The sequence below is a fragment of the Homo sapiens genome, chromosome 3 (genome assembly GCF_000001405.40).
Source record: "Homo sapiens chromosome 3, GRCh38.p14 Primary Assembly".
NCBI classification, from domain to species: domain Eukaryota; kingdom Metazoa; phylum Chordata; class Mammalia; order Primates; family Hominidae; genus Homo; species Homo sapiens.
Window position 1 is genome coordinate 183,088,902 of NC_000003.12, and position 27,295 is coordinate 183,116,196.

At 44.6% G+C, this 27,295-nt stretch overlaps 1 protein-coding gene and 1 long non-coding RNA gene across 14 annotated transcripts in view, besides 1 other annotated feature; one reads left to right on the forward strand and one right to left on the reverse strand.

The window, feature by feature from the left end:
• MCCC1 (methylcrotonyl-CoA carboxylase subunit 1) overlaps positions 1–27,295 on the reverse strand; it is a 100,979-nt gene extending 73,684 nt beyond the window's left edge. For 3 of the 13 annotated variants that reach the window (XR_007095707.1, XM_047448587.1, XM_047448590.1), the window contains exons 1-3: positions 10,451–10,686; positions 5,658–5,704; positions 3,508–3,644 (exon numbers count right to left, since the gene is read on the reverse strand). Coding sequence is in view for 7 of the 13 variants with exons in the window: in XM_047448587.1 (XP_047304543.1) it covers positions 3,508–3,644; positions 5,658–5,704; positions 10,451–10,539 (273 nt within the window). In the remaining 6 variants the exon portion in view is untranslated. Of the gene's footprint in view, positions 1–2,034; positions 2,057–3,507; positions 3,645–5,657; positions 5,708–9,586; positions 10,343–10,450; positions 10,687–26,572 lie in introns of those variants that run through there. The other 10 variants (NR_120640.2, XM_011512992.3, XM_047448586.1 and 7 more) reach the window with 7 other exon arrangements.
• Positions 10,521–10,660: an enhancer, noted in NCBI's record as "active region_20884". NCBI's record gives its function as "activates an Ori minimal core promoter by ATAC-STARR-seq in GM12878 lymphoblastoid cells {active_cell/tissue: GM12878}" and the evidence as "EXISTENCE:reporter gene assay evidence [ECO:0000049][PMID:35858748]".
• LOC105374247 (uncharacterized) lies at positions 19,324–25,352 on the forward strand. The gene is made up of 3 exons (XR_924772.3): positions 19,324–19,493; positions 22,176–22,267; positions 25,096–25,352. It is a non-coding gene; the product is annotated as an uncharacterized LOC105374247 (long non-coding RNA).

Below are 27,295 nucleotides of genomic sequence, written 5' to 3' on the forward strand. Positions count from 1 at the left end.
AATGCGCACTTAGGTTATAACGGCAAAAAACTGGATGCAGGCAAGGCTAAAGCAGACATTCCTGTACACGCTTCTCTTAGCACAATATATGTGAGCACGTCTGTGGGACAGAAACCTACAGGAATGTTTGTAGGGTTGGGTTGAAGGATATGCATAGTTTAATAGCTCCTGGTTAATCAGCCTTGAAATGGTTTTACCAATATATATTTCCATCAACATACCAGTTTCTAACCACCCTCATCAACACTGAATATTATCCACCTTTTACATTACTGATAAGCTGGTGCACCCTATAAAGGTTTAAAGCATTTAAGAAGAGGAGTAACTTAAGTACATTTTTATTTTATACTCTCAGTCTGGCTGAAAAGCAGAAAATAGATTGTTGGCTGGGGGTGGGGGACAGTTAAGAGTGGAGGTGGAGAGGCTACTTAGGAGGCTGCAGCATTTGGTCAAGCAAGAGGTGATAGTGGGGCTGGGCATGGTGGCTTATGCCTATAATCCCTATAATCCCAGCGCTTTGGGACAACATAGTGAGACATCATCTCTACAAAAAATTTTAAAAATTAGCCGGCTATGGTAGCAAGTGCCTGTAGTCCCAGCTACTCAGGAGGCTGAGGTAGGAGGATTGCTTGAGCCTGGGGGGTTGAGGCTGCAGTGAGCTGTGACTGTGCCACTGCACTCCAGCCTAGCTGACAGAGTGAGACCCTGGCTCAAAAAAAAAGGTGACTGTGGCTTTGAGTTAAGTTATAGGTGGGAGGGGGTGGAAAGAAGTGGAAAGAAATGTTTGGGAAATACAATTAACAGTACTTGGTCATTTACTAGATGAGGGGGGAAGGATCTAGAGTAGGAAAGAAGAGAGAAAAATGCTCAAAGACTTCTAGATCTCTGACATTATTGTTTTTATTAGCAATGGTGTTGTACTCTACGGGGTTAGGGAATTCTGTAAGAAATGCAGGTTCAGTATAGGTGAAAGGTCATGAGTTCAATTTCAGTCACACTAGTTTGGTACCTGTGACAATATTGAAGTGGAGATGTTGAATGGGCAGTTGGATATATATGTATCATGCTCAAAAGAAAGTCTGGACTAAAAATAGAAATTTGGGAGTTTTTCTCAAAGCTATAGGAGTATATAAAATGATCCAGAATGAGAGTGCACACTGAGAAAAGAGGGCCAAGGACCAAGTCCCAAGAAACTTCAACATAAGGGTCTGGTAGATGGGTAGGGTCTGGTAGATGGGTAGGGTCCAGATAAAGGACACTGAGAGAAGACAAGAAGGCAAGAGGCTGAGAATGCCATGAGAAGAATTTATTTCTAAAAGAAGGGAGCAGTGTACTAGGATGCTAAATGCTGCTGAGGGGTCAAGTCAGCTCAGCCCTGGAGACTCCACTGGATTTAGGGACATGGATAGTATCAGTCTAGTAGAGAGTGGTTGAAGACCCATCATTGAAAAATAGAAGATCCTTTTCTTTTTGACACAGGAATGTCTCATTTTGCTTTATGTTTTATTAATACTGTTAACTGACAAATCATAATTGTATGCATTTATGGGGTACAATGTGATGTTTTGCCACATGCACACAATGTGGAATGATTGAATCAAGCCAATTAACCTAGGCATCATCTCACTTACCTAATATTTTTTCATGGTAAGACATTTAAAATTTACTCTCTTATTTTGGGAAAATTCTTTTTTTTTTTTTCTTTGAGACAGAGTTTCGCTCTTGTTGCCCAGGCTGGAGTGCAATGGCACGATCTCAGCTCACTGCAACCTCCGCCTCCCGGGTTCAAGCGATTCTCCTGCCTCAGCCTCCCGAGTAGCTGGGATTACAGGCATGTGACACCACGCCCAGCTAATTTTGTATTTTTAATAGAGACGGGATTTCTCCATGTTGGTCAGGCTGGTCTCGAACCCTGACCTCAGGTGATTCATCTGCCTCGGCTTCCCAAAGTGCTGGAATTACAGGTGTGAGCCACTGCGCCCAGCCGGGAAAATTCTTAAAAAGACAAGAAGAGAAGGGATCCAGAGCACTGACCTTCGATGGGAAAGATGGATGCAGACATAACTAAGTCAGCAGATTCTGTGGCAGGAACCTCAATTTTATTTTCTCTGTGAAATCAAGATCATCCTGCTGCAAAAAGGTGGGTAGAGGGAGAATTGGAGGTTGGAATGAAGCGAAACAAGTTTGAAATACTCATTGCACAGAGTGAGAAAAACAGTGGCTAGAGAGCCACAAGGGCCTGCTGTACAGTGATAAAAGCCCAGGTGAGGCTGCTCATCATGAATTGATGCTAGTGCTTGGAGTCTTACTGCAGGCATAATGAAGTCCAACAGTGGGAGTCACCTATGCTTGGAGTTATTTCTGGTGGATAAAAGCTAGTGATAGGCTGGGCGCAGTGGCTCACGCCTGTAATCCCAGCACTTTGGGAGGCCAAGGTGGGTGGATCACTTGAGGCCAGGAGTTCGAGACCATTTTGGCCAACATGGTGAAATCCTGTCTCTACTAAAAATACAAAAAAGTAGCCAGGCGTGGTGGTGTGTGTCTGTAATCCAGCTACTCAGGAGGCTGAGGCATGAGAATCACTTGAACCTGGAAGGTGGAGGTTGCAGTGAGCCAAGAACACGCCACTACACTCCAGCCTGGGCAACAGAGTGAGACTCTTGTCAAAAACAAAAACAAAACAAAACAAAACAAAACAAAAAAAACTAGTAATAACTCACCCGTAACATTCACAAACTTCAGGGAGTTGGGTCTTATTAGTTATAATTTTACAGATGAAGCAAGGCTCAGAAACATGAAGTGACTTGGCTAAGATCACTCAGCCAGTAAGTAGCAGGTGCTAAGAATAGAGCCTGGATTGGCTAGGCACGGTGGCTCACGCCTGTTTGGCACTTTGGGAGGCCAAGGTGGGCGGATCACGAGGTCAGCAGATTGAGACCATCCTGGCTAACACGGTGAAAACCTGTCTCTACTAAAAATACAAAAAATTAGCCGGTCGTGGTGGAGGGCACCTATAGTTCCAGCTACTCTAGACGTCGAGGCAGGAGAATCGAGGCAGGAGAATCGCTTGAACCTGAGAGGCGGAGCTTGCAGTGAGTCGGGATTGTGCCACTGCTCTCCAGCCTGGGCAACAGAGCGAGACTCAATCTCAAAAAAAAAAGAAAAAAAAAGAATAGAGCCTGGATCTTTCTCCTTGTATATACGGAATCTGGACATGAGCTACTCAAAGTGTAGTCAGTGGATCCGCAACATTCTGTGAACCGTTTTAACCAATCCTCAAGGAGATAAAGACCTTGCCTGTAAATCAACTGTTCTACTAAGCACACCGCTTAGTTCAACTGATGTTATATCTGAAAAATGTTCCCAAGAATTAGCAGTGAGCAGTTTGAACTTACCTACTTCAACCCTGATAACACTAGCAAATATCAACTGTCATCATAAAGAACGAAAATACTGACACAGTAAACGAATAAACGTAAGACGTGGCTTCCAATTTTTAACACATACCATATCTACATGCATGGAATTTCTGTCAGCCTCACTATAAACCGCCACAGTCTGTACACCCAGTTTTTTGGCTGTGCGCATCACCCTGCAGGCAATTTCTCCTCTGTTTGCAATGAGGACCTTGGTAATGTTTCTTCCTGTTTAAAACACCATGAAAATCACACAGAAATGTTACTGGAGAGCAAAGAATGAGAATGAGAATACGATCTTAACTGGCTGATAAGGACTCGACTGATAAGTTCAAGGTTTTTGGTAAAACTAGCATAACTGAGCCCAAAATGACCACTTTAACTAATATTAGACAGTGCACTTCTTTTCTCTTAAATTCAAGGTACTCATTAACATAAATTACTCAGCTTTTTAAACTTAAAATACAAAGCAACATAAAATAAAATTAAAAGATGCTTTGTTATGCCAAGGATCAAATTATAATAGTGTTAAATTATCATCATTAATAACTACTCTTTTATGTATTTATTTATTTACTTATTTATTTATTTTTGAGACAGTGTTTTGCTCTCGTCCCCCAGGTTGGAGTGCAATGGTGTGATCTCGGCTCACTACAACCTCTACCTCCCAGGGTCAAGCAATTCTACTGCTTCAGCCTCCTGAGTAGCTGAAATTACAGGTGCCTGCCACCACGCCTGGCTAATTTTTGTATTTTTAGTAGAGACGGGGTTTCACCACATTGGCCAGGCTGGTCTCGAACTCCTGACCTCAGGTGATCCACCTGCCTTGGCCTCCCGAAGTGCTGGGATTACAGGTGTGAGCCACCACACCCGGCCAATACTAACTAATCTTTAATAAGCACTTTCTGTGCCTCAGGTCCTGTGCTAAAGACTCAACATCGACTTAAATTTTCACAATAATCCTAATGAAATAGATACTATCATTGTTATCTCAATTTTAAAGATGAAGAAACTAATGCTGAAAGAGCTATTATTTTCCCAAAATTACACAGCTAAAGAAACAATCTGGGACTTCAACCTAGATCTGCGTCACTCCAGAATTTAAGCTTTCAGTCACTCTGCTCCTCTGCCTCTATCCCTATGTACATAGGTGTGTGTGGTTCTCTTGCAACACAAGTGACTCTTGTACCAGTCTACTGGCATGGCACCATAATGACAAGCTACTGCATATATAAAATGTACTTCTAATATCACACGTGAAATAAATGTTCTTTGACAGTTCATAATAAAGTTATTTCTTCAATAGAATCCATAGGCTCAACATAATAAAGTTATTTCTCCTTTTAAAAAAAAAAAGGTTGCACCTAATTTAAAAGTGTTTTTCGATGGGGCTCTATGGAGCCCAAGAGTTGTCACAGGGGCTGATGGATGACATATGTATGAGTGTGGGCAGGGGAAGGAGAGCACAGTAGGTAGAGGGCTATATCCAATCAGCTAGAAGTTATACTTTATTACACTTTTATATGTTTCATAGTTGGGAATTCCATGTTAAATTTTATTTGGAAAAAAAGGTTTTGCTACTTAAAATAGCTTTTTCAAAGAACTGCTTTAGACCATCGTAGTTATGATTTTCCAATCCAATACACTAAGAGGGTCAAATGGACAGAAAGAACAAACGAATATAAAATGTTCTCCATTATTGCCCTCTGTATTTTATTTATTTATTTTTACTTTTTTTTTTTTTTTTTTGAGACGAAGTCTTGCTCTGTCGCCCAGGCTGGAGTGCAGTGGCGAGATCTTGGCTCATTGCAACCTGCGCCTCCTGGGTTCAAGCAATTCTCCTGCCTCAGCCTCCCAAGCATCTGGGATTACAGGCACCCGCCACCACGCCCAGCTAATTTTTGTATTTTTTAGTAGACACAGGGTTTTGCCATGTTGTCCAGGCTGGTCTCGAACTCCTGACCTCAGGTGATCCACCCACCTCAGCCTCCCAAAGTGCTGGGATACAGGCATGAGCCACTGCGCCCGGCTGCCCTCTGTATTTTAGACTTAACAGCAAGAGAGATTTGATACAAAAGAGGTGAAAACCATGACTTAACACTTCCTAGAAAATTATCGTGAAAATCCAAAATTTATGATAACTAATTCTATTATGCATATATTAAGGGATTAAACATTTCCCTTTCTTAAACACTTCCAGTCTGAAGCAAAATCAAATAGAACAACAAAGTCTGTCAGTACCTGTGGCTGTTGTGTACTTCATGGTTCTTTGCCTCCACACCCATGTCCTATAACATAAATCCAAAAGGAATTACAATTAAACAGAATAGGCAACACAATTGTTCTTTCAAAAGAATTTCAGTTTCTTAAAACATGAAACCTTAAGCCAACTAACAGTGCTTTAGTAAGACTTTCTTAGTGGGTAGAAAACTAATCTAGAACTCAAGAGTTAGAGTTCTGGCTGTTTTCCCTCGTACTACCTGTCCTTGAATGAGTCACCTAGCCTGCTTGTTCCTGAGGCTGGCATAAGACCACAGTCAGAGATGATTAAACAACCAAGGTATACCAACATCATCTAGTTTAGCTTTTTTGAAACCTTTTTGGCTACAACTCACAATACAAACTACCCAGGACACACACTTAATGAAAACAGATGTTTTGTTAAAAATGACTCATTCTGCCCTGGCCAGGCACGGTGGCTCACACCTGTAATCCCAGCACTTTGGGAAGCCGAGGCAAGCAGATCATGAGGTCAGGAGATTGAGGCCATCCTGGCTAACACGGTGAAACCCTGTCTCTACTGAAAACACAAAAAATTAGCCGGGCGTCATGGCGGGCACCTGTAGTCCCAGCTACTCGGGAGGCTGAGGCAGGAGAATGGCGTGAACCCAGGAGGCAGAGCTTGCAGTGAGCCGAGACTGGGCCACTGCACTCCAGCCTGGGTGACAGAGCGAGACTCCGTCTCAAAAAAAAAAACAAAAACAAAAAGAACAAAACTCTTTTGGTTCTTTCAGTTGTATCCTATTTTATTAAAATATGCTGGTCAATCTACAGTTTGAAAAATACCAATCAAGTTTAAACATGAGACATGTTTAAAAAGTAAGACCAGAGAAATAAACGGAAGTTAAACAGGGGCAACAGAAAGAATGTTGGCTGTGGGACCAGAAAAGCTGCATTCTCATCCGAGTCCCTCCAATGACCAGCTTGCCCAGGGTCGAGTCACTTTACATCAGTGTTTCTCCAACTTTTTTTTCATTATTACTCTCCTAATGAGAAAACTTTTAAAAGATTTTATTCCTTGTAGGAAGGGTGGGGTAAGGTTGAGCTTTGGAAAGCCGTAAACCATGACAAAATCTAAGATTTCCTGGCTCTCCTAAGAATCAATTTCCACCCTTTAGCGGTGGTATCATCCCAGTTGAGGATGCAAGATTTAATAGCTTGGGCTTCAGTGTTCTCACACACGAGATGAGACTATAAGAGGTGATCTTGAAGGTACCTCTCAGATTTAAAAGTACTATACAATTCTATTCCAAGTCCTTGTATTTAAAAAAATGGAGAAATGGGGAGACAAAATGACTTGAGGTATTTTAATGAGGTAGAAGTCTCAACAATTTTTAAGTTTCGTGATACCTGTGTATAAAATAAAGTAACCAAGAGCTGACAGAAAACAGGCCAGATTCACTTTAGGAACAAAAAAGTATAACGTCTATTAAGTTTCAGCTAAAGAGGATAAGTGGGCTGGGTGCAGTGGCTCACGCCTGTAATCCTAGCAATTTGAGAGGCTGAGGTGGGGGGATTACCTGAGGTCAGGAGTTCGAGACCAGCCTGGCCAACATGGTGAAACCCCATCTCTACTAACAATACAAAAATTAGCCAGGTGTGGTGGTGCGCACCTGTAATCTCAGCTACTTGGGAGGCTGAGGCAGGAGTATCACTTGAACTTGGGAGGTGGAGGTTGCAGTGAGCCAAGATCGTGCCACTACATTCCAGCCTGGGTGACAGAGTGAGACTCCATCTCAAAAAAAAAAATAAATAAATAAATAAAAAGCATATGCAGGGAAACAAACAAATTACAGAAGCAATTCCACCTATCTTTTTGTCTATACCTGGAAGATGTGGTTATAAAGGACTAACTAACCATTTTAGATTATTCACAAAGCACAAGATAAAAGCACAGCGTGTGCATTAGAAACTATGTAACTAGGCAGTAGTATATACATATTATGTATATGACTATGTAGTTGAGCAGGACTAGTATTTCACTGGAGCGGAGATGCAGTAGACATCTACACATCTATATGCGTCTATACACTCATTGCCCTACAATGCACACTCAGATGCTGCCATCCATGAGGAGCTGCTGGGAAGACCCACAGCTTTGGCAGGAGAGTTCCGTGAGCTAGCTTCCTCACGAGGCTGCTGCTTTCCCACACCTTTCCATTTCAGCTGATGTTACCTTCTTGATCCTGAAGGAGGGGGATCATCTTTCCTGATCTTTATGAGGTATTTTCTAGCTCATAGCATCGTCTTCCCTTTACATTCTTCAGATAGGCTTCTGATAAGTTTCAAGGCCTATTCTGGGCAGATGTATCTATTAAATGGTTGCTTGTTGGTAAAGCTAGCTTAAGACTGATTCGGTTTCAAGGCTACTGTTGACCTAAAGCTTTCTTTTGCAATCTTCTAGTGAAGACAGAAGAAGGGAGAGAGGGAAAAAGAGGGAGAAAGAGACAGAGATCCCACTTAACTGTAATCCACTATCCCAACAATGTTCTGATCATCTATTCCATTTTTCACAATTATCTAAGCTGCAACTTAAAAGCAATGGCTTAAACAAGATTAAGAAGCTGCTTCCCCGGAGCTTGCAGTGAGCCGAGATTGCGCCACTGCAGTCCGCAGTCCGGCCTGGGCGACAGAGCGAGACTCCGTCTCAAAAAAAAAAAAAGAAGCTGCTTCCCTGATTCAAGGTAGCTCTATACCAGCTTATTGTCATGTCTATAATTCTGCCACCAGAGATTATTTTCTGTGAGCTACTAAAGATTCATAACATAAAAATAATGTAAACTATCTGTGCTGTTAAGATTTTTTTGTTTTTGTTTTATTTGAGATGGGATGTCACCCAGGATGGAGTACAGTGGTGTGATCATGGCTCACTACGGCCTGGAACCCCTGGACTCAGGCCGTCCTCGCCCTCCTCATCCTCCCAAGTAGCTGTGACTACAAGTGTGTGCCACTACGCCTGGCTAATTTTTTAATGTTTTGTAGAGATGAAGCCTCACTGTGTTGCCCAGGCTGGTCTTGAACTCTTGAACTCAAGCAATCCTCCCACCTTGGATCCCACAGTGCTGAGAAACTGCTGAAAATACAGGCATGAACCAAGTCTCCTGGCAAAGAGTTTTACTTCTATAAGCCATTAACAACTCTAACACTCTCCAGAGTGACATACTTGAGGATAGTTCTTTAGACAATAGCTAAGCTTTGAAAGGGAAGACAGGAAATGGGTCTATGGTACTATCCTGAAGAGCCCTGGAGGCCTAAGAAAAGAAAAACCAGAAGAACAAGAAGAACATTAACATTACTTACACCAACTTTTTTTTTTATTTTTTTATTTTTTATTTGAGACGGAGTCTTACTCTGTCGCCCAGGCTGGAGTGCAGTGGCGTGATCTTAGCTCACTGCAAGCTCCGCCTCCTGGGTTCACACCATTCTCCTGCCTCAGCCTCCCGAGTAGCTGGGACTAACAGGCGGGACTATAGGCGCGTGTCACCACGCCCGGCTAAATTTTTTGTATTTTTTAGTACAGACGGGGTTTCACCGTGTTATCCAGGTTGGTCTCGATCTCCTGACCTCGTGATCTGCCCGCCTCGGCGTCCCAAAGTGCTGCGATTACAGGCGTGAGCTACCGCGCCCCGCCAACTTCCAACAACTTTCTTATGTTTCTCTGGGGCACTCCTACAATTAAGTAACTAAAAAGGGCATCTACAATATTTCTGGAAAATAAAAGCAAGCAAACGTTCATATAAATGGTTGAGTTTGCATTTATAGACTGATCTTATGTACCAGATTGTGCTTAAACCTCATTCCATGAATTAATTCATTTAGTTTTCACAACCCAAGGTACTCGTATCATCTCCAAGGTGAGGAAATTAAAGAAGAAATATTAAGTAACTTACCCAAAGTCACACACCTAGTGAGTAGCTAACTAAGACCTCAGCCTTGACTGCAGAGTCTGTGCCCTTGAACACTAAACTGTCAATCTTTCCAGAATGATGAAGGATGATAACGATGAAGCAAAAGAAGACAAAGAAGCAAAGCTATCTACAAGCCTGAGGGTTTTTTCACTGCCAGAGTTATTGCCACCAAAGCTTAGAGCTCAAAATTTGAAACAGAGCTGGAGTCAGGTGAGCTAGACTGAGTCATCTGATAGCGTTGTTCAAACTTGGGTACAAGAGTTTTTGACAAAATAATTTCCCAGCTCTGTGGAAGGTACATTTGCTCTTCTTGACAACTTCACTCTTCTAACAATGAGAAGGAACTCCAGGAGTCTTTCTCTGAACTGGACACCTGATGGGGCACAGCTGAACTGAAAAATGGCTTTGAGGGCATCCCGGCCCCATTTCTTACTAGCTGTGTTTCGTTGAGGAAGTCGTTGATCCCTTTGGGCTTCCCCGGAACCGGATTATAACAACGCTCCCACCTAAGGGGTGCTGCGAAAGCCCGATGTAAACGGCTACGAGCTGCAGCGACGGCGAGGGGAGCCTGGAGGATGGCGGGCCCAGTCCTCAGAAATGGAAAAACAGAAGCCAAAGGCGCGCTGAAGCGTGGATGTGCGGAAGCGGGGAGAAAGGGAAGGGCTGGTGGGGATGTCTTCCTCCCGACGCCGTGACTGCCGGCAGAACCCCTCCGAAAGTGCCTGGGGTTTTCCTACCGTCCTCCCCACACCGACCCTGGGTTCCGCCGCACCTCCCACCGCTCACGCGGGTCCGTGCACCCCTCGCTCCCGCCTCTGCCCACTGAGCCATGGCCCCTCCACCCACCTCGGCGGCAGGAGCAGGCTCGGGAGACGATGCCACCGGTTCCTCTCCGCCGCCACCAGCAGCACCGACACCGCAGAGGCCGCCGCCATGTCCCTGGAGCCCGGCCACTCCGTGACTCCCCAGTACAGAGGCAGCTGCGTCCCACACGCCAAACCCGTTCCTCCACTACGAAGCCTCGTGACCCCCGCCGGCCACCGTCGGAGCCTGAGCCTACCTTTGGGCTGATCCAAGAATGTGAGGGCGTCTCCACGAACACCAATCAAAGACCAGAGCCCGGCTTCAGTAGCGACGATTGGGCAGTCTGGCCACGTGCTCGTGGGGGTGTGGCCTTTGTTTCTGCGTCCCCTGGGGCCTGCTCTGACTAAGGCAAGGGTTTTCTCCATCCTCCCCCTCTTGGTTGCCTGTCACTGTTTCTTCCTGCATCCCGTGGGGTTTCTTCGCTCTCGTCACCTTCTGGGAGAAGAACCCTGGGGAAGAAGCCAAATGCGGATGGACAGCAGGATACACAATTCTCTAGTGCTCTCAGGGATGAAAAAATAAATAAGCTAAAGTGAAAATCTTTAAACCACCTGAGCTTAAAACAGGTATTCTAACTGACTATTGGGAAAAAGAGGAAGTCAAAGAGCAAACTGAGGAACATCTAGAGAATAAAGAAACTGTAAACACTACATGTAGATGCTTCATGAGGAAAGCAGGAGGGAGAAATTAGGGAAGATAAAGGAATAAATAAATGAATTCAGGAAACCAGTGTCAAAGGACTAATAAACCCACAGGTTCACAAAAAATAAAATAGTTATCTAATCAGAAATAGAGAAAAATGCACATTTGACATGATTTAAAAAACAAGCAGGGGAAAATCACAGACACAGGAAACAAATTATAGATTTGTAAGATGCTAATTTTGCTTAACTTCAAGTGAACTTAAAACTCTGGATGAAATGGATGATGTTACAAGAAAATACAATTTATCAAAATAGATCCTGGAAGAGACAAAATTTAAGCAAACCGTTACCACAGAAAAAATAGAGAAGTTTATCAAAGAACTATCCTTGCTACCACCATGGCCCACTTTCACCTTCACCTTCACCCCTAAAAGTTACAAAAGCCCTCCATGTCTTGCAAGAAAATTCCACACAAATGAGTAATTGACTCAAATGCTATTAATTCTGTCCCAGAGCACAAAAAAGATGGAAGTCTTCCAAACTCTTTTTAAAAAGTAAACATAACTTTGATACCAAAATCAACAAAGATATCACGCACACACACACGACAGACCAATTTCACATGTAAGTATCAGTGGAAAAATTCTAAATAAAATATTAACTACGCTGGGTGCTGTGGCTCATGTCTTGTAACCCCCCATTGAGATGTGACAGCGTGCTGGCAGTCCTCAGAACCCTCGCTTGCTCTCGGCACCTCCCCTGCCTGGGCTCCCACTTTGGTGGCATTTGAGGAGCCCTTCAGTCCCCCACTGCACTGTGGGAGCCCCTTTCTGGGCTGGCCAAGGCCGGAGCCCACTCCCTCAGCTTGCAGGGAGGTGTGGAGGGAGAGACACGAGCGGGAACTGGGGCTGTGTGCGGCACTTGCGGGCCAGCTGGAGTTCCGGGTGGGCGTGGGCTTGGTGGGCCCCGCACTCGGAACAGCCAGCCAGCCCTGCTGACCCCGGGCAATGGGGGACTTAGCACCCGGGCCAGTGGCTGCGGAGGGTGTACTGAGTCCCCCAGCAGTGCTGGCCCACCGGCGCTGCGCTCGATTTCTCGCCGGGCCTTGGCTGCCTTCCCACGGGGCAGGGCTCGGGACCTGCAGCCCGCCATGCCTGAACCTCCCACCCACTCCATGGGCTCCTGTGCGGCCCAAGCCTCCCCGATGAGCGCCACCCCCTGCTCCACGGCGCCCAGTCCCATCGACCACCCAAGAGCTGAGGAATGCGAGCGCACGGCGGCGCAGGACTGGCAGGCAGCTCCACCTGCAGCCCCGGTGCGGGATCCACTAGGTGAAGCCAGCTGGGCTCCTGAGTCTGGTGGGGACGTGGAGAGTCTTTATATCTAGCTCAGGGATTGTAAATACACCAGTCAGCACCCTGTGTTTAGCTCAAGGTTTGTGAATGCACCAATCGACACTCTGTATCTAGCTGCTCTGGTGGGGCCTTGGAGAACCTGTGTGTCGAAACTCTGTATCTAACTAATCTGATGGGGACGTGGAGAACCTTTGTATCTAGCTCAGGGATTGTAAACGCACCAATCAGCACCCTGACAAAACAGGCCACTGGGCTCTACCAATCAGCAGGATGTGGGTGGGGCCAGATAAGAGAATAAAAGCAGGCTGCCCAAACCAGCATTGGCAACCTGCTCGGGTCCCATTCCACGCTGTGGAAGCTTTGTTCTTTCGCTCTTTGCAATAAATCTTGCTACTGCTCACTCTTTGGGTCCACGCTGCTTTTATGAGCTGTAACACTTATCACGAAGATCTGCAGCTTCACTCCTGAGCCCAGCGAGACCACGAGCCCACCGGGAGGAACGAACAACTCCGGACACGCTGCCTTAAGAGCTGTAACACTCACCGCGAAGGTCTGCAGCTTCACTCCTGAGCCAGTGAGACCACGAACCCACCAGAAGGAAGAAACTCCGAACACATCTGAACATCAGAAGGGACAGACTCCAGACGCGCCGCCTTAAGAGCTGTAACACTCACCGCGAGGGTGTGCAGCTTCATTCTTGAAGTCAGTGAGACCAAGAACCCACCAATTTCGGACACGCCATCACTTTGGGAGGCTGAGGTGGGCCTCCCAAACTGCTTAAGCCTAGGAGTTTGAGACCAGCCTGGGCAATATAGTGAGACCCGCATCTGCACAAACATTTTTTTAAAAAAACTGGGCGTAATGATGCACACTTGTAGTCCCAGCTACTCGGGAGACTGAGGCAGGATCACTTGAGCCCAGGAGTTTGAAGCTGCAATGAGCTCTTATCATGCCACTATACTCCAGCCTGGGTAACAGAGTGAGAGAATGTCTCCAAAAAAGAAGCAAAAAAAATAACTGAAGTATCCTGTAGCATGTGAAAAGAATAACACACTGTAAATAAGCAAGGTTTATTCCAGAAGTATAAGGATGATTCACTATTAAGAAATCAATTAATAAAATGAATATTAAGAGTTTAAAAGAGAAAAACTTATATTCACAGAGGCTTAATAGGTCATTGACAAAATCTGACCTTCATTCTAGATTTTAAAACTCAGTAATTCAAGAAGTGATTGGGACCAGTGATTAGCCCTCTGGAAAAAAAAGCTGGATCCCTGCTTACTTCTTACACCTAACACCAAAATATTCCAAGTAGATGAAAGATTAAATATAAAAGATGAAAGCATAAAAGTTCTAGAAGACATTATGGGAGGTCTTAGAGCAGAGAAAGTTTTTTTTTTTTTTTTTTTTTTTTTTTTTTTTTTTTTTTTTTTTTTGAGACGAAGTCTCTCTCTGTTGCCCAGGCTAGAGTGCAATGGCATGATCTCGGCTCACTGCAACCTCCACCTCCCAAGTTCAAATGATTCTCATGGCTCAGCCTCCCGAATAGCTAGGATTACAGGCATCCACTACTGCACCTAGCTCATTTTTTGTATTTTTAGTAGAGACGAGGTTTTGTGTCTGGAATTGGTGGGTTCTTGGTCTCACTGACTTCAAGAATGAAACCGCAGATCCTCGCGGTGAGTGTTACAGCTCTTAAGGTGGCGCGTCTGGAGTTTGTTCCTTCTGATGTTTGGATGTGTTCGGAGTTTTTTCCTTCTGGTGGGTTCCTGGTCTCACTAGCTCAGGCAGGAGTGAAGCTGCAGACCTTTGCAGTGTTACAGCTCATAAAGGCAATGTGGACCCAAAGAGTGAGCAGCCGCAGGATTTATTGCAAAGAGCGAAAGAACAAAGCTTCCACAGTGTGGAAGCAGACCCGAGCGGGTTGGCACTACTCGCTCTGGGCAGCCTGCTTTTATTCTCTTATCTGGCCCCACCCACATCCTGCTGATTGGTAGAGCCCAGTGGTCTGTTTTGACAGGGCACTGATTGGTGCGTTTACAATCCCTGAGCTAGACACAAAGGTTCTCCACGTCCCCAGCCTGGAGACGTGGAGATTAGCCTAGATTAGCTAGATACGGAGTATCCACACAAAGGTTCTCCAAGCCCCCACCAGAGCAGCTAGATACAGAGTGTCAATTGGTGCATTCACAAACCCTGAGCTAGACACAGGGTGCTGATTGGTGTGTTTACAAACCTTGGTGTATTTACAATCCCTGAGCTAGACGTAAAGGTTCTCCACGTCCCCACCAGACTCAGGAGTCCAGGTGGCTTCACCCAGTGGGTCCGGCACTGGGGCTGCAGGTGGAGCTGCCTGCCAGTCCCGCGCCGTGCGCCCGCACTCCTCAGCCCTTGGGTGGTCGATGGGACTGGGCGCTGTGGAGCAGGGGGCGGCGCTCATCGGGAAGGCTCGGGCCGCACAAGAGCCCACGGAGCGGGGGGAGGCTCAGGCATGGCGGGCTGCAGGTCCCGAGCCCTGCCCCGCGGGGAGGCAGCCAAGGCCCGGCGAGAAATCCAGCGCAGCGCCGGTGGGCCGGCACTGCTGGGGGACCCAGTACACCCTCCGCAGCCGCTGGCCCGGGTGCTAAGCCCCTCATTGCCCCGGGCCGGCAGGGCCGGCCGGCTACTCCGAGTGCGAGGCCCACCAAGCCTACGCCCACCCGGAACTCCAGCTGGCCCGCAAGCGCCGCGCGCAGCCCCGGTTCCCGCTCGCACCTCTCCCTCCACACCTCCCTGCAAGCTGAGGGAGCCAGCTCCGGCCTTGGCCAGCCTAGAAAGGGGCTCCCACAGTGCAGCGGTGGGCTGAAGGGCTCCTCAAGTGCCGCCAAACTGGGAGCCCAGGCAGAAGAGGCGCCGAGAGCGAGCGAGGGCTGTGAGGACTGCCAGCACGCTGTCACCTCTCAGTTTCACCATGTTGGCCAAGCTGTCTCGAACTCCTGACCTAAACTGATCTACCCGCCTTGGCCTCCGAAAGTGCTGGGATTACAGGCATGAGCCACTGTGCCCAGCCAGAGAAAGCTTCTCTAAGTATAACACAATACTCAGAAGCTATAATGGAAAAAAAAAGGAAGGATAGCTTCAACTACATGAAAAAGTTTTAAAATCTGCACAGCAAAACATACACATAGAGAAAGTCAAACAGCAGACGGAATAATTTTGCAACTCTTATCACAGATGAAGGGCTACTTTCCTTAATATATAAAGAACTATAAACCGATAAGAAAAAAGATCTGTAATGAAAGAGAAAATGGTCAAAGAATATGAGGAATTCACAGAATAGAAAAAGTAAGCAAATATAAAACATACTTAATCTCACACCAAATAAGAGAAATACAATAATAATACACCATACTTCACCTATCATATTAGCAGATAACATAAAGTTTAGCACACTGTAATTAGTGAGGGGTGTGGGAATATTATCACACTTTACTGTTGCAAGTAAAAATTGGCACAACCATTCTGCATAGTACTTTTACAATATTTATCAAAATTGCAAATCCACAAACTCTTTGACCTAGCAAAAGAATTTCTTGGAATTCACCTACAGATATACCCAAAGATGTTTGAAATGATATATGATTAAGGAAATTTATTATAGCATTGTTGGAAATAGCAAACTGATTAAAGAAACTAATTAAATAATGTACATGCAGGCCGGGTGTGGTGGCTCACGCCTGTAATCCCAGCACTTTGGGAGTCCGAGGCAGGCGACTCACCTGATGTTGGGAGTTCGAGACTATCCTGACCAACATGGAGAAACCCCATCTCTAGTAAAAATACAAAATTAGCTGGGCGTGGTGGCATATGCCTGTAATCCCAGCTACTTGGGAGGCTGAGGCAGGAGAATTGCTTGAACCTGGGAGGTAAAGGTTGCAGTGAGCTGAGGTCACGCCATTGCACCCCAGCCTGGGCAGCAAGAGCAAAACTCTGTCTCAAAATAAAAAAAAGTACATGCAGAAAAACAATGAATTACTATGCAGTCATTAAAAAAGAATGAGACAGAGCAATATGTACTCATAAAACACACTGATGAGTGAAAAAAGCAAAATAAAAAACCATGATTATTATTTCATCATTTATGTAAAAATAGGAGAAAGAAAATTCCCATATGCTTATATATGTAGAAATATCCTCTAGGCAAGAAAAGTTGTTGGCTTGAGGACAGAGATGATGGAGGTGAATATTTATTGTACACCCTTTTGCATCTTTTGCGTTTCGTACCTTAGGCCTGTATTAGCTATTGTGAAAGTTGTCATAATCAAAAAGGAGTCACTAATGGTAAAAAAGAAGAAAGAAAAAAAAAAACTCTTACAAATAGAGCTGGGAAGGCTATGAAGAGAGTGTTTTCAGGCTTGTATTCCTGATAACAAAAAGTGTCACAAAAGACTGCCAAAATTGGCCTGGTGCAGTGGCTCACGCCTGTAATCCCAGCATTTTGGGAGGCTGAGGCAGGTGGATCACGAGGTCAGGAGTTCAAGACCAGCCTGGCCAACATGGTGAAACCCTGTCTCTACTAAAAAATACAAATATTAGCCGGACATGGTGGCTGGTGCCTATAATCCCAGCTACTCAGGAGGTTGAAGCAGGAGAATCACTTGAACCTGGGAGGGGGAGGTTGCAGTGAGCCCAGATCGCGCCATTACACTCCAGCCTGAGCAACAGAGAGTCCGTAAAAAAAAAAAAAAAGACTACCAAAACTACAACCTTGCACAAAGGCCATCACAACCTTACACAAAAAATACTTCTGCAAGAACATGTGTCCAGCAACTGCCTATGGAACCCTGGACTGGCATCACCCATGTTATTCATCTTTGTAGCCAAGGATAATTATTTCAAAACAATTACATAATACTCCTCATGTTTTCCTTTAAAAAGCTTACTCCCATTGCAATGGCTTATTCCAAAATAAATATCTTTTTCTTTTATAGAGCCTCTCTCTGTTCCTTATTTAGGCTGATACTATAGAAAAACACATAATTTTAAAATGTTTTGTTTTGCTATAACTTCAAACTTACAGAAAAGCTGCAAGAATAGTACCCTTCACCTAGATTTCCCAAATGTTTCTTTGTTCTTTTCTTTCTTTCTTTCTTTCTTTCTTTCTTTTTTGAAACAGAGTCTCGCTCTGTCGCCCAGGCTGGAGTGCAGGGGTGCAATCTCAGCTCACTGCAACCTCAGCCTCCCAGGTTCAAGCGATTCTACTGCCTCAGCCTCCTGAGTAGCTGGGATTGCAGGCGCTCCACCATACCAGGCTAATTTTTGTATTTTTAGTAGAGACGGAGTTTCACCGTGTCGGCCAGGCTGATCTCAAACTCCTGACCTCAGGTGATCCACCCACCTTAGCCTCCCAAAGTGCTGGGATTACAGGCATGAGTCACCACGCCCAGCCCAAATGTTTCTATTTTATCGCATTTGCTTTATCTTTCTCTCTCTCCCTCTCCTCATGCAGATATAGATATATATGTGTACACACACACACTCACACATGCATACACTCACATTTTCTTTTGGAACCATTTGAAAGCAGGCTGCAGACATGATGCCTTTTTTTTTACCTCTAACTATGTCACTGCATATTTCCTAAAACAAGGAGATTTTATCACTTGCCCACAGAATATTTTTGAAGATTGTGAAGTTAACACTGATACATACTATTATTTATTCTACAGACCTACTTTGACTTTCAACAATTGTTCCAAAAGAAAACACTGTAGTGGCCAGGCGCAGTGGCTCACGCCTGTAATCCCAGCACTTTGGGAGGCTGAGGCGGACGGATCATTTGAGGTCAGGAGTTTGAGACCAGCCTGGCCAACATGGTGAAACCCCATCTCTACTAAGAATAAAAAAAAAATTAGCTGGGCATGGTGGCATGCACCTGTAGTCCCAGCTACTGGGGAGGCTGGGGCAGGAGAATCGCTTGAACCCAGGAGGTGGAGGTTGCAGTGAGCTGAGATCGTGCCTTTGCACTCCAGCCTGGGCAACAAGAGCGAAACTCCATCTCAAAAAAAAAAAAAGAAAAAGAAAAAGAAAAAGAAAACACTGTAGTACACATTGCATTGACTCTTAGGTCACTTAATTTGTATTGATTCCTCTGTTTTGTTTTTATTATTATTATTATTATTATTATTTGTTGTTGTTGTTGTTGTTGTTGTTGAAATGAAGTCTCACTCTGTCACCCAGGCTGGAGTGCAGTGGTGTAATCTTGGCTTACTGCAACCTCTGCCTCCTGTATTCAAGTGATTCTCATGCCTCAGCCTCCCAAGTAGCTGGGATTACAGGCGCATGCCACCACGCCTGGCTAGTTTTCTTTTCTTTCTTTTTTGTAGAAACGGAGGTTTCACCATGTTGGCCAGGCTGGTCTCAAACTCCTGACCTCAAGTGATCCGCCCGCCTCAGTCTCCCAAAGTGCTGGGATTACAGGTGTGAGCCACTGCACCCAGCCTGATTCCTCCGTTTTTAAAAAGATGCTGATGATGCTGATATTTTTTATGAATACAGGCCAGTTGTTTTGTACAATATCCTTGAATTTGGGTTTGCCAAAAATAAAATCAGATTAAATTTAAATTCTCAAAAAGATTATTGAGCATACAAAATAACAGTTCCCAAACTAGAGACCTCTGTGCAGCTTCCTAAATGAGGAAGTACGTTGATCTCTGTTGTGCAAATAAAGCTGCATAAGCTTGTTTGTATTGGCTTAATGTTATTACGCTGACAAGGAAGAAAAAGTGTGTTATGGTTAGGGCTAGCATTTTCAGGGAAATCAGGATAGTTTAGGTTTTGACTACACATGGCTGTGGGTTGTTGGCCTAGGGAAATATCCAAACTGTGGCCTCCAATTTTATTTTTCTTTAACCTGTTCATCTGGTATTTCCTCATGATTAGATTTAGGTTATTAGATTTAGGTAATTAGATTCCTCCCTTTTGGCAGGAATACCACAGAAGTGATGTCATACCCATTTCAGTGCATCATATCTGGAGCTACAAAATGTGAGTTTGTTCCATGATGTTAACTTTATCACTTGATTAAATTGGTGTCTGCCAGGTTTCCTCACTGTAAATATTTTTTTTTGACATTCCATATGGTTTTGTCTCCGAGAGGTAGAATTGTGTTTCATTCTCCACCACTCCTTCTCAACATTACTTCTGAATAATTTTCTGCACTTCGCAAAGTTCTACAAGAAACAGACATGACTTTAACAAGAAGTAATGTTTAAATCTGACTGAAGAAAATACTGGGGGGAGGAAGTGGAAGTGGAGGTACAGAGTTAGAAGCTGGTGTGCTGTTCTCTCTATAACTCCACCCACTGATCCTGTTTTAGATCAGGCATGATTATTTCCAATTTCTGGGGCAAGGGCAGTTATACTGATCCATCATCCTCGCACTTGCTCCAACCGAAGTGTAGAACAGCCCCAGTAGCCTCTTTGGTGTTCAATAGGTATATCTGGGATAAAACTAAAGCCCAAAGGAATGACCCATTACAGCATCATATGTATTGAAGGACTTTGATATGCTGGGTTTTTAAAAAATTTTTCTTTTAGGTTCGGGGCTACACATGCAGGTTTGTGGGGTTTTTTGTTTGTTTGTTTTGTTTTTGTTTTTGAGATGGAGTTTTCCTCTTTGTTGCCCAAGCTGGAGTGCAGTGGCGCGATCTCGGCTCACTACAACCTCCGCCTCCTGGATTCAAGTGATTCTTCTGTCTCAGCCTCCCAGGTAGCTGGGATTACAGGCGCCGGCCACCATGCCCAGCTAATTTTTGTATTTTTAGTAGAGACGGGGTTTCACCATGTTGCCCAGGCTGGTCTTGAACTCTTGACATCTGGTGATCCGCCCACCTCGACCTCCGAAAGTGCTGGGATTACAGGCGTGAGCCACCGTGCCTGGCCATGTGTAGGTTATTTATATGGGTATATTGCATGCTGCTGAGGTTTAGCGTACAAATGATCCCGTCACCCTGGTGAGCATAGTACCTGATAGTTCTTCAACTATTGCCTCCCTCCCACCATCTCTCCTCTGGTGGTACCCAGTGCCTATTGTTCTAATGTTTGTATAGATGTGTATTGAACGTTTAGCTCCCACTTGTAAGTGAGAACATGTGGTATTTGGTTTTCTGTTCCCATGTTAATTCGCTTAGGATAGTGGCCTCCAGCTGCATCCATGTTGCTGCAAAGGACATGATTTCTTTCTTTTTTATGGTTGTGTAGTATTCCATAGTAAATATGTACCACATTTTCTTTTCCAGTCCACTGTTGATGGGCACCTAGGTTGACTGCATGTCTTTGCTATTGTGAATGGTGCTGTGATGAACATATGAGTGTGTGTGTCTCTTTGGTAGAATGATTTATATTCCTTTGGGTATATATCCGATAATGGGATTGCTGGGTCATATGGTAGTTCTGTTTTAAGTTCTTTGAGAAATCTCCAAACTGATTTCCACAGTGGCTGAACTAATTTACATTCCCACCAGCAGTGTATAAACGTTCCCTTTTCTCTACAGCCTCACTGTCTGTTATGTTTTTGACTTTTTAATAATGGCCATTCTGATTGGTACAAGATGGATCTCATTGTGATTTTGATTTGTATTTCTCTAATGATTAGTGATATTGAGAATTTTTTTCATATATTTGTTGGCTGCATGTATGTCCTCTTTTGAGAAGTGTCTGTTCATGTCCTTTGCCCATTTTTAATAGGATTGTCTTTTGCTAGTTTAATTAAGTTCCCTATAGATTCTGGGTATTAGACCTTTGTCAGATGCCTAATTTGCAAATATTTTCTCCCATTCTGTAGGTTATCTGTGCATTCTGTTGATGGTTCTTTTGCTGTGTAGAAGCTCTGTAGTTTAATTAGGTCCTACCTGTCGATGTTTGGTTTTGTTGCCATTGCTTTTGGAGACTTAGTCACAAATCTTTTGCCAAGGCTGATGTTCAGAATGGTATTTTCTAGGTATTCTTCCAGGACTTTTATAATTTTAGATCCCTTTAGTCACAATTTTTTTTTTTTTTTTTTGAGACAGAGTCTCACTCTGTCACCCAGGCTGGAGTGCAGTGCCGCGATCTCAGCTCACTGTGAGCTCCGCCTCCCAGGTTCACGCCATTCTCCTGCCTCAGCCTCCTGAGTAGCTGGGACTACAGGCGCCCGCCACTACGCCTGGCTAATTTTTTGTATTTTTTAGTGGAGACGGGGTTTCACTGTGTTAGTCAGAATGGTCTCGATCTCCTGACCCCATGATCCGCCCACCTCAGCCTCCCAGAGTGATGGGATTACAGGCGTAAGCCACCGCACCCGGCCTAGTCACAAATTTTTTGCCAAGGCTGATGTTCAGAATGGTATTTTCTAGGTATTCTTCTAGGACTTCTATAGTTTTAGATCTTATATTTAAGTCTTTAATCCATCTTGGGTTAATTTTTGTGTATGGAGAAAGGTAGGGATCTAGTTTCAATCTTCTGCATATGGCTAGCCGGTTATCACAGCACCATTTATTGAATAGGGAGTCCTTTCCCCATTGCTTATTATTATTAACTCTGTTGAAGATCAGATGATTGTAGGTATGCAGCTTTATTTCTGGATTCTCTATTCTGCTCCATTGGTCTATGCATCTGTTTTTGTACCAGTACAATTTGACATGCTTTTTAATGATGATAAAGATGTTTACATATGTATTATATCATCAGGACTGCTGTTTGCTTGTGTCTCTTTGGGAAAATTATATAAGAGTTCCTTATTCTCCTGGAACAGGCAAACTCAGGACAGGATACACAGCATGGTAAGTCGAGTACAAGTCTGGATTTCCGCTTCTGTCAACCCCTTTGGCTGGGAACCCCAATGCAATACGCAGCACCCTGTATTTGTTACCTTACAGGGTCATTGTGAAGATTAAATAAGTTATGTCAAATGACCTTTTTTTTTTGTTTTGAGATGGAGTCTCACTCTGTCGCTCAGGCTGGAATGCAGTGGCGCAATCTCAGTTCACTGCAACCTCTGCCTCCCAGGCTCAAGTGATTCTCCTGCCTCAGCCTCCCGAGTAGCTGGGATTATAGGCACCTACCACCACGCCTGGCTAATTTTTGCATTTTTAGTAGACATGGGGTTTTGCCATGTTGGCCAGGCTGGTTTCGAACTCCTGACCTCAGGTGATCTGCCCGCCTTGGCCTCCCAAAGTGCTGGGATTACAGGCGTGAGTCACCGCGTCCAGCCTTCAAATGACCTTTGAAGACTATAAAGTGATACATGCATGTGAGTTATTCTTAGGCCTATTGCAGGAAAGACCAGGAGGTCCAGAAGGGCTGTTAACCCAGACTTTGCATTCAAAAAGCGTTTTAAATTTAAACCTTCTCCAAATGAAGTCATTCATATAGTCCCAGCAACACAGTGATCAGACGGACAGAAATTTGAACCTGTGCCTCAGTGCGAGACCACACTCCCTACACTGTGCCATGAATGGATATTTTATTTTTATCTTATAATTATCCTATGAATAGCCACAACTTTGCATTGTAATTTTTGTGTTAAAATGTTATTTTGTTACATGTCAACATGTAAAATATATCGCCATTTTTGAAACATTGTTTTGGCTTTCCTAAATTTAAAAAAAAAAACATTCCTCAATAAATGGAAGTGCTCTGAGTCTCTCTGGTCTTCTGAAAATCCATTTTGTAAAATAGAGCAGGGTTCAGTGATTCTGAAAACAAATGTATGCCAGCTCAGCTTTCTAATACCTAAAAAGGGCCCAGGCATTTTCCTCATCATCAATCTCATCATTTTAAATTAAGCTCTATGACTCTGTTAATCCTACAAATTTCTTGTTGTTCCCCGTGTCAATTAAGATGTTTTTGCCTGTAAGCCACAGAACATCCAACTAAAAATGAGGGAAATTTATTTCACATAACAAGGACAGAAGGTAGGGTGTTTCCAGGACTGGTTAACTCAATAGCTCAATGTTATCACCAAGGATGTGGCCATGTGCTTTCTATCCTGCTCTACCATTTTCAGCAAGTGTCAAAAGAAGGCTGCAGTGGCTCCTACCATCACAGCAGACACAACATCAAGCAAAGACAAGACATTTTCTCTCATGCATATGAGTTTTTCTCCCCTGGTTTAAAAAACCTTTTATTATGGAAAAGCTTTACCATTACAAGAGTGGGTAGAATTATATAATAAATCCCTGTACACATTATACAATTTTAATAATTATCAACTCACGATTAACCTTTTTCATCTATATCCCACCTATCACCACTTCCTATCAGATTTTTCTGAGGCAAATTTCAACCATCATTTAATTTCATCCATAAATATTTCAGCATGTATACCAGCATGCAAACCGTTCCAGACTTTACCCTATGTATCTCTTCATCTGTCTATTTGTATACTTTAAAATATCCTTTGAAGGCTGGGCGCATTGGCTCACACCTGTAATCTCAGCCCTTTGGGAGCTTGGGCAGGAGGATTGCTTGAGACCAGAAGTTGGAGACCAGCCTGGCAATGTAGTGAGACCCCCATCTTAAAAAATAAAAAAAAATAAAAAATAAAAAAAAAATTGGCCGGGCACGGTGGCTCACGCCTGTAATCTCACCACTTTGGGAGGCCAAGGCCGGCGGATCACGAAGTCAAGAGATCGAGACCATCCTGACCAAGATGGTGAAACTCCGTCTCTACTAAAAATACAAAAATTAGCTGGGCGTGGTAGTGGGCGCCTGTAACCTCAGCTACTCGGGAGGCTGAGGCAGGAGAATCCCTTGAACCCGGGAGGCAGAGATTGCAGTGAGCCGAGATGGCTCCACTGCACTCCAGCCTGGTGACAGAGCGAGACTCCATCTCAAAAAAAAAAAAAAAAAATTAACTGGGCTTAGTGGTGGGAGCCTGTGGTTCCAGCTACTTAGAAAGCTGAAGTAGAACAGCAAACTATCGCAAGGACAGAAAACCAAACACCGCTGTTCTCACTGATAGGTGGGAATTGAACAATGAGAACACTTGGACAGGAAGGGGAACATCATACTCCGGGGACTGTTGTGGGGTGGGGGGAGGGGGGACGGATAGCATTAGGAGATATACCTAATGTAAATGACGAGTTAATGAGTGCAGCACACCAACATGGCACATGTATACATATGTAACAAACCTGCACATTGTGCACGTGTACCCTAGAACTTAAAGTATAATAATAAAAATAAATAAATAAAAAATAAAAAAAAGGAAGCTGAGGTGGGAGGTTCCCTTAAGTCCAGGAGGTCAAGGCTGCAATGAGCTGTGATCACACCGCTGTGGTCCAACCTGGGTGACAGAAGATGACTCTGTCTCAAAAAAAAATAAAAAAAAATTTAAAAAAAGGGTCCTTTATAATAAACTGGTAAAAGTGTTTCCCAGAGTTCTGGGAGCCACTCTAGCAAATTAATAGAACCTGAGGAGGGAGTTGTGGAAATCCTGATTTTTAGCTGGTGGGTCAAAAATACAGGCAAAATAACCCAGGGCTTGCAACTGGCATCAGAAGTGCAGAGCGGGTGGGGAGCTGTCTTGGGGGGTGAGCCCTCAACCCGTGGGTGTAATGCCCAACCTTGTTTTTTCCTTATTCACCAGGCCTTGTTTCTCCCTTAGCTAAGAGAACAAGACAAACTCCATCTTGGCTCTTTCACTGGCAGCCTCTTCCTCAAGGACTTAACTTGTGCAAGCTGACTCCCAGCACATCCAAGAATGCAATTAACGGATAAGATACTGTGGCGAGCTATATCCGCAGTGCCCAAGAATTCGTCTGATTGATAACGCCCAAAGCCCTGTGTCTATCACCTTGTAATAGTCTTAAAGCCCCTGCACCTGGAACTGTTTACTTTCCTGTAACCATTTATCCTTTTACCTTTTTGACTACTTAACTTCTGTAAAATTGTTTTAACTAGACCCCCCGCCCCCCTTCCTAAACCAAGATGTAAAAGTTAATCAAGCCCCTTTCTTGGGGCCAAATTTTGAGCGTTAGCCGTCTCTCGGTCGCTGGCTAATAAAGGACTTTTAATTCATCTCAAAGTGTGGCGTTTTTCTAACTCGCTCGGGTACAACATGGGATCTGATGCTGTCTCCAGGCAGTGTCAGAATTGAATTGAAGGAAGCCATCTGGTGTCCACTGCAGAACTGATGGCTTGCTCGGTATTTGAGGGTGGGGAGAAACATACACATTTGATCACAGCAGTTTTCTGTGTTGATTGTTATGGTGTGAAAGAAGAAGTAAGACAGTATTTTCCTCTCAAGTCCCTTTGGGGGAAGAAGGGGAAGAATCTTCACAGGCTCTTCCTCCTAGAGAGCAAGCCACTTATTCAGACAGTGACTCTAGATCTAAAAATTGCCTCGGTTCTGGAAACGGAGCAAGGAATCGTGGTGTTTTATTGGAGTGACCACCCTTAGCCTCCTGCCTCTCCACTGTCTGTTGTTGTTGCTGTTGCTTTAGATGTTAAGCAGGACCCATGCTGGCTGCCCCTGTATTTTGCTCCTAGGGATTCCCTGCTCCATTAACCACATCCACAGTCCTGCAAACCAAGCTCCTTTGGATGCCCCTCTACCTTGCCAGTTGTTATGGTAATGACAGTCTCCCGGCTCGTGGTGCTAAATGCTGCCGCCTGGCTTTGTTTCAGGGGACCCATCATTCCCACACTCCCAGTTCTGGGACCTCTCTCCTACCAACTGTGTTACAAAAAAGAGCCACACCAACGTGCCCAGGGATGCCGGCACCCCTCTGACGGCCTTGATAAAAGATGTATCCTAAGCCCTCTCATGGAAAACAATCCTCTAGCATGTCTTCTGACCTTACTAAAACACATCAATTCAACACTCTCCTCAACCTCCTTATTCCTTCCTCTGCCATCTGCCAGGGCCACCCAGGCATCTCCGCTTTGCTTAGAATTGGCTATCATTTCTTCCAGGCTTCTAAGAGCCATCTCAGCAAGTGTCCATTCCCTGGAGTTCTTGCTGGGTGTTAAATACCATGTTCAAGAATCTACCCTGAGGTCAGTGAATTCTTGCTCACCCAGATTTACCTTTTGGCTCTATTGACCAAGCACCTTCAAAATCCAACCCCAGGAGTACTCACCTGGGTCCAGCCTGTCCGTGCCAGCGGATTCTTGCCATTTTGGGTGTGTGTTGTCTCTTCCCCTACTTATGTTACCAGAGAGAAGGTCCTAAATGCTGCCAGGTGCGGTGGCCCACGCCCGTAATCCCAGCACTTTGGGAGGCTGAGGTGGGTGGATCATCTGAGGTCAGGAGTTGGAGACCAGCCTGGCCAACATGGTGAAACTCCATCTCTACTAAAAATACAAAAATTAGCTGGGCATGGTGTTGGGCGCCTGTAATCCCAGCTACTCGGGAGGCTGAGGTGGAAGAATCGCTTGAACCCGGGAGGCGGAAGTTGCAGTGAGCCGAGATCACGCCACTGCACTCCAGCCTGAGTGACAAGAGCAAAACTCCATCTCAAATTAAAAAAAAAAAGTCCTAAATGTGATGTCCAGGTTCTTGGCGTATTGGACAAATAGTTGAACACAACACCACGGAGTGGGCACAGATTTATTGAAGACGGTCACAGAGTGGGAGTGGGCTCGAGCAAGCAGTTGCTGAAGAGCCCCCTCAAGTAGGGTTTTTTTTAAATTAAGCTAGAAAGAACCCAGCAAAACCCCTAGGAAACCCTCAGAAGCCTCCAATTGGCCACACCCCATGAAGGACTGGCCGGCGGCCAATGGGGGGCTAAAGGGGCTTGTTGTCATGGGAGCGAGGATGTGATCTATATGCTGCACCTGCGGCTCTCCTGCTCATGCGCACT